Genomic DNA, 12,003 nt, shown 5'->3' on the forward strand with positions numbered 1-12,003 from the left:
TTTATAGCAACACAAACACTGAGACGCAAAGTTTCTCTTCCTAGCACATGTTTGGTTTAGATTGTAGAACAAGGGTTGGCAGGAGAGTGGTGATAGAGCTGGAAGTTTAAGCTGATAGTTCAGGGGCTACCACGGTGACGCTTTTATAGTTGGTTAGGTTCTGGAACATGTTGCAGTCCACTTCCACAGTGAGTCTCTGGAGCCCCACATGTGTTGGCGTGAACTGGAACTTGGCACACATGGTGTTTTCAGGCCACACTGAACGGAATCTGAAATAAAGGAAAAGGCAGGTGCTAGTTCTGTCCCAGGTTCATTGCTCTGCTGGTCCCAGTGACTTTGATCCTTCCTTGCTTGAAGAGGTGGACCATGCAGAAATAAACATCTAAGTACCTTGCTATTAAAATGGAAGTGTTTATAAAGGAATAGAAGACAGGAGCCACCCAATGCTGAGCAACTGCATGGTTGAGAAGAGGTACATCCTAAGGGCTTCCAAGCTACATCTGTTGTTCCTTTTGTCATCTGTGACTTCCTTCTGGTTCAATTCCTGGTAATTGTATTGGAGTTTGTTTGGAAGAGTGATATGGTTTGGCTGTGTCCCCACCCAAATCTCAACTTGAATTCTATCTCCCAGAATTCCCATGAGTTGTGGAAGGGACCCAGGGGGAGGTAATTGAATCATGGGGGCTGGTCTTTCCTGTGCTATTCTCGTGATAGTGAATAAGTCTCAGGAGACCTGATGGGCTTATCAGAGGTTTCTGCTTTTGCTTCTTCCTCATTTTCTCTTGCCACCACCCTGTTAGAAGTGCCTTTGCCTCCTGCCATGATTCTGAGGCCTCCCCAGCCATGTGGAACTGTAAGTCCAATTAAACCTCTTTTTCTTCCCAGTCTCAGGTATGTCTTTATCAGCAGCGTGAAAACAAACAATACAGTAAATTGGTATGAGTAGAGTGGGGCATGGCTGAAAAGATACCCGAAAATGTGGAAGTGACTTTGGAACTGGGTAACAGGCAGAGATTGGAGCAGCTTGAAGTGCTCAGAAGAAGATGAAAATGTGGGAAAGCTTGGAACTTCCTAGAGACTTGTCGCATAGCTTTGCCGAAAATGCTGATAGCAATATGGACAATAAAATCCAGGCTGAGGTGGTCTCAGATAGAGATGAGGAACTTGTTAGGAACTGGAGCAAAGGTGACTCTTATGTTTTAGCAAAGAGACTGGTGGCATTTTGACCCTGCCCTAGAGATTTGTGGAACTTTGAACTTGAGAAAGATGATTTAGGGTATCTGGTGGAAGAAATTTCTAAGTAGCAAAGCATTCAAGAGGTGACTTGGGTGCTGTCAAAGGCATTCAGTTTTATAAAGGAAGCAGAGCGTAAAAGTTTGGAAAATTTGCAGCCTGACTATGCAATAGAAAAGAAAAACCCATTTTCTAGGGAAAAATTCAAGCTGGCTGCAGAAATTTGCATAAGTAACAAGGAGCCTAATGTTAAACCTGAAGATCAAGGGGGAAATGTCTCCAGGCCATGTCAGAGAACTTCATGGCAGCCCCTCCCATCACAGGCCCGGAGGCTCAGGAGGAAAAAGTGGTTTAGTGGGCCAGGCCCAGGGTTCCTGTGTTGTATGCAGCCTAAGGACTTGGTGCCCTGTGTCCCAGCCACTCCAGCCATGGCTGAAAGGGGCCAACATACCGCTTGGGCTGTGGCTTCAGAGGGTGGAAGCCGCAAGCCTTGGCAGCTTCCAAATGGTGTTGAGCCTATGGGTGCACAGAAGTCAAGAACTGAGGTTTGGGAACCTCTGCCTAGATTTCAGAATATCTATGGAAATTCTGGGGGCCCAGGCAAAAGTTTGCTGCAAGGGCAGGACCCTCATGGAGAACCTCTGCTAGGGCAGTGCAGAAGGCAAATATGGGGTCAGAGCCCCCACACAGAGTCCCTGCTGGGGCACTGCCTAGTGGAGCTGTGAGAAGAGGGCCGCCATCCTCCACACCCCAGAATGGTAGATCCACTGACAACTTGCACTGTCTGCCTGGAAAAGCCACAGACACTCAGCGCCAGCCTGTGAGAGCAACTGGGAGGGACGCTGTACCCTGCAAAGCCACAGGGGCAGAGAGAACTGCCCAAGACCATGGGAACCCACCTCTTGCATTATTGTGACCTAGAGTCAAAGGAGATCATTTTGGAGCTTTAAAATTTGACTGCCCTGCTGGATTTTGGACTTGCATGGGCCCTGTAACTCCTTTGTTTTGGCCAATTTCTCCATTTGGAATGGCTGTATTTACCCAATACCTGTACCCCCACTGTATCTAGGAAGTAACTAGCTTGCTTTTGATTTTACAGGCTCATAGGCAGAAGGGACTTGCCTTGTCTCGGGTGAGACTTTGGATTGTGGACTTTTGGATTAATGCTGAAATGAGTTAAGACTTTGGGGAACTGTTGGGAAGGCATGATTGGTTTTGAAATGTGAGGACATGAGATTGGGAGGGGCCAGGGATGGAATGATATGATTTTGCTGTGTCCCCACCCAAATCTCAACTTGAGTTCTATCTCCCATTCCTCATGGGAGGGACCCAGGGGGAAGTAATTGAATTATGGGAGCTGGTCTTTCCCATGCTATTCTTGTGATAGTAAGTCCCATGAGATCTGATAGGTTTCTCATGGGTTTCCACTTTCGCTTCTTCCTCATTTTCTCTTGCCACCACCATGTTATAAATGCCTTTCACCTCCCGCCATGATTCTGAGGCCTCCCCAGTCATGTGGAACTATAAGTCCCATTAAACCTCTTTTTCTTCCCAGCCTTGGGTATGTCTTTATCAGCAGCGTGAACACGAACTAATATAAAGAGCTATAGCTTTGGAACCCTTGCTTATTGCTAAGCACAGTGGATGTAGCAGGGCTTATTGAGAGGATGTCAGTATGTCAGCAGGTGGTGTTTGGAGCCTTGTCAGCAACCTCCTGGCCTGCCTATAAACCTTCTTTTGGTGACAGACTTCCTTTGGGGAGCTTTGCCCCACAACTGATTTGGGAGACCACAAAAGTATGGTTAAATGTTGACAGTCCCTTCTCTTGATTTCTTGGCAAGAATGTCTCATTAAGTTTCATGAGGCTGAGGCAGTGGCTCAGTAACCCACACACCTGTTAGGGACCTCAGGGAGGGTAGGAGTAAGTATCTTGAACTTTATACTGTCTGTTCAACTAAGGATGCAGTAGACATAATGAAAGAAGATATTTGCAACGTCTAAAACCAACAAGGGACTAATACCTGGACTATACAGGAAACTTCTACAGATCAATAAGAAGGAAGCACAGAAACACCAAAAGAAAAGTGGGCAAAATAAGACAAACTACTTACTGAGAAGAAAACATAAAAGGCTAACAAACATATGAAGAGTTGCAATTAAAATAATAGTAAGATATTACTTCATTTTTATTGGACTGGAAGAAAATGTTAATAGCTGGGTATTGCCAGGAATGAAGGAGGGGTAGGAATACAGAAATTCTCATGTGCTGCTGGAGGGAGTGGAGACTCTTGCAGCCATTCTGCAAATCTGACAGTACCTGGTCAAACCACATCATAGCCTAGGACCCAGCAATTCTATTCCTGGGTATATATCCCCAGACTCCACCAAATTTTTTTTTTTTTTTGAGATGGAGTCTCGCTCTTTCACCCGGGCTGGACTGCAGTGGCGTGATCTCGGCTCACTGCAAGCTCCGCCTCCCAGGTTCACACCATTCTCCTGCCTCAGCCTCTCAAGTAGCTGAGACTACAGGCGTCTGCCACTGTGCCCGGCTAATTTTTTGTAATTTTAGTAGAGACGGTGTTTCACTGTGTTAGCCAGGATGGTCTCGATCCTCCTGACCTTGTGATCCACCTACCTTGGCCTCCCAAAGTGCTGGGATTACAGGCGTGAGCCACCGGGCCTGGCCACCAAATTTTCAAACAAGTATATAAGGAGACTTGTGTGAGGATGTGCACTGCAACATTATTTGCAGTGTCAGAGAGTTGGAGGCACTCTGGGTGCCCATCTCTGTGGAGTGGAGTGGTAGAAAGTGGTGGGTGTACACGATGAAATATTATGTAGCAGAAGACATATGGGCATAAATCTTAACATAGTTCTGAGTGAAAAGTAAGAAAGCAATTAAATATAAATTTATATAAGTTAAAAGTACAGGCTCATGAAAGCAACAGTACACATTTTATACGTACGAATAAAAGGATATGAAGGATGGTGGTGAAAATGGGAATAAAAGGGAATAAATTAAACAAAATTGTATATTGTGGTGGTGACTACCAGAATGTAGCCCTCTGACCACAATGAAAGATAGCCTGTCCTCCCTTCATTACTCTCCAATACCCAGCCCTAATGCCCTCGCCTATATTCACAGCAACACCCAGGCTCTCCCTGCAGGATCAGGGCAGCAACCAGGGCAGGCGGGTGCCCAAGGGGCCCGCACAGCCTGCCTCACTCCCATCCTCCTGCAGATATGGTGGTCCTAGGATGAGGGAAGCCACTTGGTAGCCCTAATCCTTTAGTTTAGTTTCTAGGGGTATCTGCTGTCTGCATGGACATGGCAAAGAGAGAGTTTCTCTCTTGGGCCCTGCCTTTCTGACCCATTGAGACATTTCAGGGGGATGAGAAGCCTGCCATCACTTACCTGTAGCTCCTCTCTCTGTGAATGAGCCCCCTTCCCAGGATGGAGATCACACAGTCCTCCATGGGGGCATCTAGGGAGTTCTGGAGGCTGACTGAGGCTGTGAGGGGTTGATACTGCTCTGCTTTCTCTGGCATCTGTGGGAAGAGGCAATACCTGGTGTGGATGCCAAGGGCACAGCTGCAGTCACTCTCTCCTCCCATGCACCCCTGTACCCTCCTCAGTAAGTTTCCTCATCTCTGCCAAGCTGACTCAAACTTCACAGCTGATGTCTTCTACCGCTCTACCTGCTCTTCCTGCATTTATTCCCACCCTTGGTCCTTCACTGATGATTTCTGATGTCGCCTCTCCTCTATGCAGACCCCTTGGAGGGTTTCCCACTGTCTTGGGAATTCAGTTTACATTGTATTCAACGTTCTTCATGGTGTGTCCCCAAACCCCCTCTCCCACCTCACCTGTTCTTCCCATGACTAAGTGACATCCCAGCCCCGTCAGGGACTGTTCCATCCCCAGCACACGCCTCACGCTACCTTCCATTACACCTCTTTGCTGTCTTCTTCTGTCTTCAGTGGCCTTCCCCTACCTCTGTACTGAAAGGGTACCCATTTTTCAAGGCCCAGCATAGATGTCATCTCTTTCATAAGGTCATCCCCAAACCCACCAGCTGGAATTAATTCCCTTTGCTTCACTTATTCCATAGCAACTTTGTGCATCTATTAAAGCACTTATCTGGAAGACCAAATGTTGTGTCTCCCTAACTAAACTATAACCTGCTTGCGGGCAGGGATCAGATCTCATTCATTTTGGCCAGGGTAGACACATGGAAAGAGGGCTGGACCAAGAGCCATAAGCCTCTAGAACTTCCTGTTTTTATAATCTTGGGCATGTTGCTCTCTAGGGCTCACTTTTTTCATCTGAATAATGGGAACAGTTCTACCTCACAGGGCTTAGAAAGAAATAAAGGAGCTGAAAATCCTCTGGCATGTGTATGAGGTGCTAAATAAACATAGGCTATTATGATCCCTGTAGGTAGGAGGCAGTAACTGGGAAGGCCCCAATTTTAGAAACCTTTACTTAACTAAAGAAGTTGGAAGATTTAAACCTTAATAGGGCATGTAAGAAACTATGTCTTTCAAGGGAAGGAGCTCTTAAATGTAGCATTTTCTGGTAATCTTGCAGCACAGTCATCTGCTCTGAAGGGGCCTGGATTCCTTCTGAAATGGGGACCTGAGTGGTGGCAGACGAGGGCAACTCAGGGGAGGACTGGTGCCTACCTTGATGGCAAGGTGTGGTCTACAAATGGCAATGTCTTCCTGAGCAAAGCAGCTAAGGTTGGATTCAGAGTGTGTTGCCATGGCGGTGAGTCTAAGGAAGGTGTTCTCGGGTGGGTTTCGCTCAAAATTGGAGAAGAACAGGCCGATGGTTATTATCTTTTCTGAAACACATGACAGGTGGAGTCAGTGGCAACAGGTGTATGTACCCCAGAAACAGCCATAGTTACACACACAATACAAAGGACTCAGGGCCTCACTGAGGCCAGAAAGATGCACCATTTTCCCCAGCAATTGTACACTTGGAACTCACTCAAGACCTCACTCCTCACCCTCATCCCCATCACCAACCCCGACAATGCTCTTGGCAGACCACCTCAGTGGGGTTGGGAAAGGGTCCCCTGTGAACTGGAACAAGTTAAGCTCTTTCGGCCTCAGTGTCCTTGTCTAATAATGCCTACCTAGTGGGATGGTTTGTGTTGTTTGTAGGGTTTTTGTTTTGTTTTAGAGACAGGGTCTCGCTTTGTCACCTTACAGAAGAAATATCTACTCCTACTGTCACTACTGCTCAGGGGATGAGGTATCCCCCCTGCCTAAGTTGAATCCTCTGCTTTCTAAATCTGTGCCCCATCCTGACCCCATCACACTAGCTGTGTAACCCTGAGTAAATTAACGACCCTCTCTGTGTCTCATCTCCTCATCTGTAAAGTGGGGATAGCAATGGTTCTTGCCACAGAACGTGGTTGTGAGGGCTAACAAGATGATGCATATGATGCATATAAAGCACTTAACACCATTTTGGGCAAATAGTAAGTGCCTGATAAATGTGAGCTACAATTATTCTAGTTGTCTCATATCCCCAAGCATAGCACTATCAATTTTAACCCATCTCTCCTGAGGCTCCATTCTTTCCCTCTTGCCTGCTTATTTTCCTCAGCATAGAAGCAGGTTCAACTCTCTCCCTCTGCCCAGTGTCCCTGGCTGACTACTCCCCAGCCTCACCTTTTCCTGTCATGCCTCCAGGGAGGACTAGACAGTTTGTCTCACCTTCCCAACGCAATTGGCTTAACGCCCAGGAAGCTTCTCTGTAAGTCCACTCTCTTAATGGTGCTTTTCAGCCTTGACACCTCGTGCCCTTTCTGCTGACCTTGCTGGGTGCCCCCTTTCTTTGACTATTTGACCTCCCTTACTCTGCTTTTCCTCTGATCGCCCCCTAAATGCTGCTGCTGCTGCTGGGTTCCCTCCTCACCCTCTCATCTACTCACTGACCTCTCCCCACTGCCATGAGCTCATCTATGCCCTGACTCTTTGTTGGCCCCCCTGTGCTGGGATTTCCACGTCTGAGCTCCAGCCCAGAACTTTATCTTACCAAGGTCTCCTGCCACCTGCTGGCCAGCTCCACTTGCGTGTGTCACGGGCTTTCAGACACAATGTGCCACAACCAAATCCATCCTTTTTCTCCCCAAACTTGCTCCTCCCCATTTTTCCTATTCTAGTGACTCACCCAAACCAGAAGCACCCACCACACACATATACACATTCACACATTCACAAGCCCCATCTATCTCAACTCCTTAATATGTTTTAACTCTAAGTGCTGCTAGCTTAGTTTGGCCTTGATTTCTTGACTTGATGATTTACACAACCTTCTCATCTTCAATCCAGTGGTTCTCAAGACTGGATGCATGTTAGAATCAAGTGGGGAGCTTTACAAAACAATCCCAATGCCAGGCCACACCCCAAATCAGTTACATCAGACTCTGGCGATGAAGCCCAGACATCAGTATTTTTAAAAGTTCCCCAGATGATCGGAGTCTCTGAACCTACTCTGGCTCAGAAGGCTGCCCCCTCCGCCCCCCCCCCAAAAAAAAGTTCCCAAGATGACTCAATGTGCAGCTAAGGTTAAGAAGCACTCTTCTTATATGACCCCTTCCATTCCATTCTGCCAAAAGTTCTTTCTTGTTAAAATGAATTTCTGATTCCATTGACTACCCTGGTTGAAACCTTCCACCAGTTTTCCATTACCCAGAGAACAAAACTCAAACTCCTTAGCAAGAGAGACAAGACCCTGTGTCACCTGGGCCCTGTCCAGTTCTCACGCCACTCTCCCAACTCCACTCCTCCCATGCTTGGAAAGGGAAGAGTGATACAGAGACTGGAGGTGAGGTGACCGGTTAGAAGGCTGTTGCAATGCTGTAGACAAGCTCTCGTCAACTGATTCTCACACTTGTCTGCACATCGGAATTACTTCAGTTTTTAAAAATTCTGATGTGTTCCACCATGGAGTTTTTGTTTTTTTTCTTTTTGAGACGGAGTGTCACTGTGTCACCCAGGCTGGAGTGCAGTGGCATGATCTTGGCTCACTGCAACCTCTGCCTCCTGGGTTCAAGCGATTCTCCTGCCTCAGTCTCCCCAGTAGCTGGGATTACAGTTGTGTGCCACCAAGCCTGGCTAATTTTTGTATTTTTAGTAGAGTCGGGGTTTCACCATGTTGCCCAGGCTGATCTTGAACTCCTGACCTCAGGTGATCTGTCCACTTTGGCCTCCCAAAGTGCTGGGATTACAGGCATGAGCCACTGCGTCCAGCCCACCATAGAATCTGTCATTTAATTGGCCTGAGATGCAGGCTGAGCATCAAACTTCCCCCAGGTGATTCTAATGTGCAGCAAAATTTAAAAACAATTGTTCTGGTTCAGGGAATCTTAACTGTAGAATAACACAGGGTGTTAAAAAAAGAAAAAAACAATACCTGGACCCCATCTCAGACCAATTAAGAAAGAACCTCAGGGATGAGCAGGGCCCTTTGCACACGTTGCTCCTTCCGTCTGGAATGCCAAGACTTACTTTTCTGGCCATTACTCTCCTACTCATCCTTCCAGATTCCATGCAGTACAATTTATTTGGGGGCAGCTTATTCCAGCCTGGGGGGAGGTGCTCTCCTGCCACTGTACTCTGTTAAACTCAGCAAACACTTCTCACACTGCTACGAAGGGTCTGTTTACTTATCTGACTGCAGTTGGCATCGTGTTTTTTTCCTGCTTCAGGCCCAATAAATATGTGTTGAATGAATGAATGAGAGAGAACATGAGAGTGAGCAGCAGGGGCTCAAAGCCATCTCTAGAGACTGCAGGGGGTGCCCTGTGGCTGCTGCCTGCCCAAGGCAGGGGCCATGTGTGTGTGTGTGTCGGGGGGTGTCTGGTGGGGCCATAGAGCATTACCCAGGTTGGCACTGAGCGTGAGGTGCAGCTTCTTCCTCCAGAGCTTGGCAGCAAGGACACCGTTGTAGTGTACAGCCTGGACCCCAATTGCCAGCTGCACTGCCTTCTCCTGCTCACTGTGATTAACCAGCGTCACTGAGATCTGGGCATCCCCTCTCAGGGGTAGGGAGCTGGGTGCTTTCAAGAGCAGGTACAGAGGACTGGCAGTCTCGAGACTGGGAGGACGGATGCCGTTGTCTTTCTCACGTTCCATTTTCTCTTTCTCGACTCTCTCCAGCACCTCTTTTTCCTGAAGAGACCCTGGAGAAGGGAAGAAACAAAGCTGACCTTTTACCCGGGTGGTATAAATGCTTCTAATAAAACCCTGGGAATCAAAACCATTTACCCACTTCTGCTCAAATGCCAAAGTCACAAGAACTCAGCAAGCCTCTAAGGCCATATTTAGCCCAAAAATGTCTGTGTCAGGCAGCTCCACCACCGATACAGTGTGTCTCTTCCAAACCACTCAAGGACCAAGTTCTTTTTCAAGTGCTATGAATTCTCCCCTTGAATGATGAGAGAGCAAGGTTGGGGACAAGTCAACACTGTCTCTGAGGACAGTTTTGCAGGGAACTGAATTTTCCTATGTGAAAGAATTTAGACTTCCTCTGAGGGTCAGGAATGCTGCTAAATGTCCTAGGGTGCACAGCCTGTACAACAAAGACATATCTGGGCCCAAATGTCAATGGTGTCAAATGGGGTTGAGAAACCCTGTTTTATATGATGCGGAAAGGACAAGTCTCTTTCTGGCTGCATCTACCAGGCCCATCCCTTTCCCTCGCTTGCCGTTTCAGGTACCGAGAAGCCTGGGGCCCTTCCCTGGCCCGTACCTTCAGGATACTTGTAGTTCTGAGTGATGTCCTCGCAGCGGTCACTGCCCACACCCTTGGTGCTGATGTTGTTGCCAACATACTTTGTGTTGGAGTCAGTCAACTCCAGTGTCCCATCCTCACAGCACTTCCAGACCACACATGAGGCATTTATGGCAGCAAAAAGGTCTGACACTGCTGGGGTCAGCCCCAGCGTCCCCTCCTTGACTGCTCTGACCGGCACCAGATCACAGGACCCCAGGACTGAGGGAGAGAAAGGTTGGTGAGCATGGGAGCTGCGCCTAGACCTCTGCTCAGTTCAGAACTGCGTAACCTCAGTCCCCATCCTCTAGCCTATTTTCCCTCCACGAGGACCAAGGTCAGAGGTGAGCACTAGGCAGGGTTTCTGAGAGAGTCACAGAGGTGAAACTATTTAGTGATCAACTATTTAGTGATAAAACTTTTTGGTCATGGTCCCTGGCAGAAGCCCTCTCAGGAACTGGACAGGCAGAAGCTCAGAGGGTCATATTTAGCGTGAGGAGCTCTCAAGCCAGCTTTACTATGGATATGACAGGAATAGGGCTACCTTTCTTGAGCACTTACTAGGTGCCAGGCTCTGTGCCATTTCTGTTCCTGGGTGAGGAAGAGCTATCTTTTTGTGGGTCCTGAAGCTTCCTTTTCTGGGCTTGAGCCTATCCCGATGCCCTCTTCATCCGTGTCCAGAACCTCAGAACCTCTGCTGTAAGCCCCTGGCCTAGCACAGCCACTTGCCATCTTAAGATCCTCTGCCCTTCACTGTGACCCAACTCCCTCACCCACAGCTCTAAGGTGCCTCATCTACCTACAGCCTTGTAGCCGGGATAGCAGGCACCTCTATTCCCATGAGCCCACTGGCATCAGGTCAGCTTTCTGCTGGCTGCTGTCATGCCTCGTGCTTCTACTGTTTTCGAGGATGCAGACCCCCTTGGGACTGCCTGCTGCTCCCGAGTCCTCTCTGGGGACTTCAGCTCTGTGCAGCCCTGCGTGGTCCTGGACCCACCCCTAGGCTTTACCTCCACCTCCATTAGGAGCACTTGGGTGCAGAATCTGCCATCCATCATAACCCTGGGGCAAGGCAGGCCGCGTCATCCAGCACTCTGTGGAAGTCTGGAAGATCCTGAATGCAGCAAAGAGAAAAATTCAAGTGGGAAAGAAAACGAGTGCTGAAGAGGTTCTGGAAATGCAGCCTGGCAGAGCTGTTGTTGTTCCAGTGGGATGGGAGGTCACTGTGTCAAAGTGGCTGTGGCACTCCCAGGAAGGGGCGTGCACACCATCACTGACCATCAGCGCCGCCTCTAAGGGTCTTGAAAGCCTACTCTCCATGCCAGGGCCATGCAGGGGGTGGGGCTCCTGCAGAGGTGTGCTATGCAGGGTTGGAGCCCTTCCTGGACTGGAACCTCATCTCCCTTGGGCTTCTCACCAGATTCTGCCTCTCTGGCCTTCTCCGTTCTGAAGTCCCTCCTCATTATAGTATTCATCTATGAGAAGACGCCCACCGGTGCCCTGTGCTGAGGCAAACGTGGTCACCACGCGGGCAGGGATTCCCAGGCATCGCAGCACTGTGAGAAGAGGGGCGGAGTGTCAGGGGGCGCTTGAGAGACCGGGCTGGGGGCGTGTGGGAGGCTAGGATTTTCAGTGTCTCCTCTGGGCACTGAAAACTTGGAAAGAAGAGGAGTGCAGGAACCTAGAAGTGGCAGCCAAGAACAGGATGCATGAAGGCTGATCAATAAGGCACAGGTTCCACCGCATGCGGGGCATATACCAGGGGAGAAGGCAACAGAGCATAGAACACAGCGCTGCGGGGCTGCTCTGCTAGGGCAGGGTTAGGGAAGTAAGTGAATTTGGGAAAGGAGTTTGCAAATGAGCCCAACTTTGCTGAGGGGAAAAGCAGCAGAAGCTGGCGGGAGGAGCTGCCTGGGACAACTACTTCTGTGTGATGAGATGGGGAAATGCGGCCGCAGGGAGGCAGCACCTGCTTTTGG

The 12,003-nt window shown here is 48.8% G+C and overlaps 1 protein-coding gene across 8 annotated transcripts in view, besides 1 other annotated feature; it reads right to left on the minus strand.

Moving 5' to 3' along the window:
• EPB42 (erythrocyte membrane protein band 4.2) overlaps window positions 32-12,003 on the minus strand; it is a 28,511-nt gene continuing 16,539 nt past the window's right edge. For all 8 annotated transcript variants that reach the window (XM_011521351.3, XM_011521350.3, XM_005254225.2 and 5 more), the window contains 7 exons: window positions 11,442-11,580; window positions 11,035-11,138; window positions 10,004-10,246; window positions 9,135-9,434; window positions 5,920-6,080; window positions 4,649-4,782; window positions 32-269 (listed from right to left, as the gene is read on the minus strand). In XM_011521351.3, the coding sequence (XP_011519653.1) occupies window positions 107-269; window positions 4,649-4,782; window positions 5,920-6,080; window positions 9,135-9,434; window positions 10,004-10,246; window positions 11,035-11,138; window positions 11,442-11,580 (1,244 nt within the window). In that variant the 3' untranslated portion in view covers window positions 32-106. The remainder of the gene's footprint in view (window positions 270-4,648; window positions 4,783-5,919; window positions 6,081-9,134; window positions 9,435-10,003; window positions 10,247-11,034; window positions 11,139-11,441; window positions 11,581-12,003) is intronic.
• Window positions 7,096-7,390: a silencer, noted in NCBI's record as "tiled region #15360; HepG2 Repressive non-DNase unmatched - State 12:CtcfO". NCBI's record gives its function as "represses a minimal TATA promoter and a strong SV40 promoter by Sharpr-MPRA in HepG2 cells {active_cell/tissue: HepG2}" and the evidence as "EXISTENCE:reporter gene assay evidence [ECO:0000049][PMID:27701403]".

Source organism: Homo sapiens, chromosome 15 (assembly GCF_000001405.40).
Source record: "Homo sapiens chromosome 15, GRCh38.p14 Primary Assembly".
NCBI lineage: Eukaryota > Metazoa > Chordata > Mammalia > Primates > Hominidae > Homo > Homo sapiens.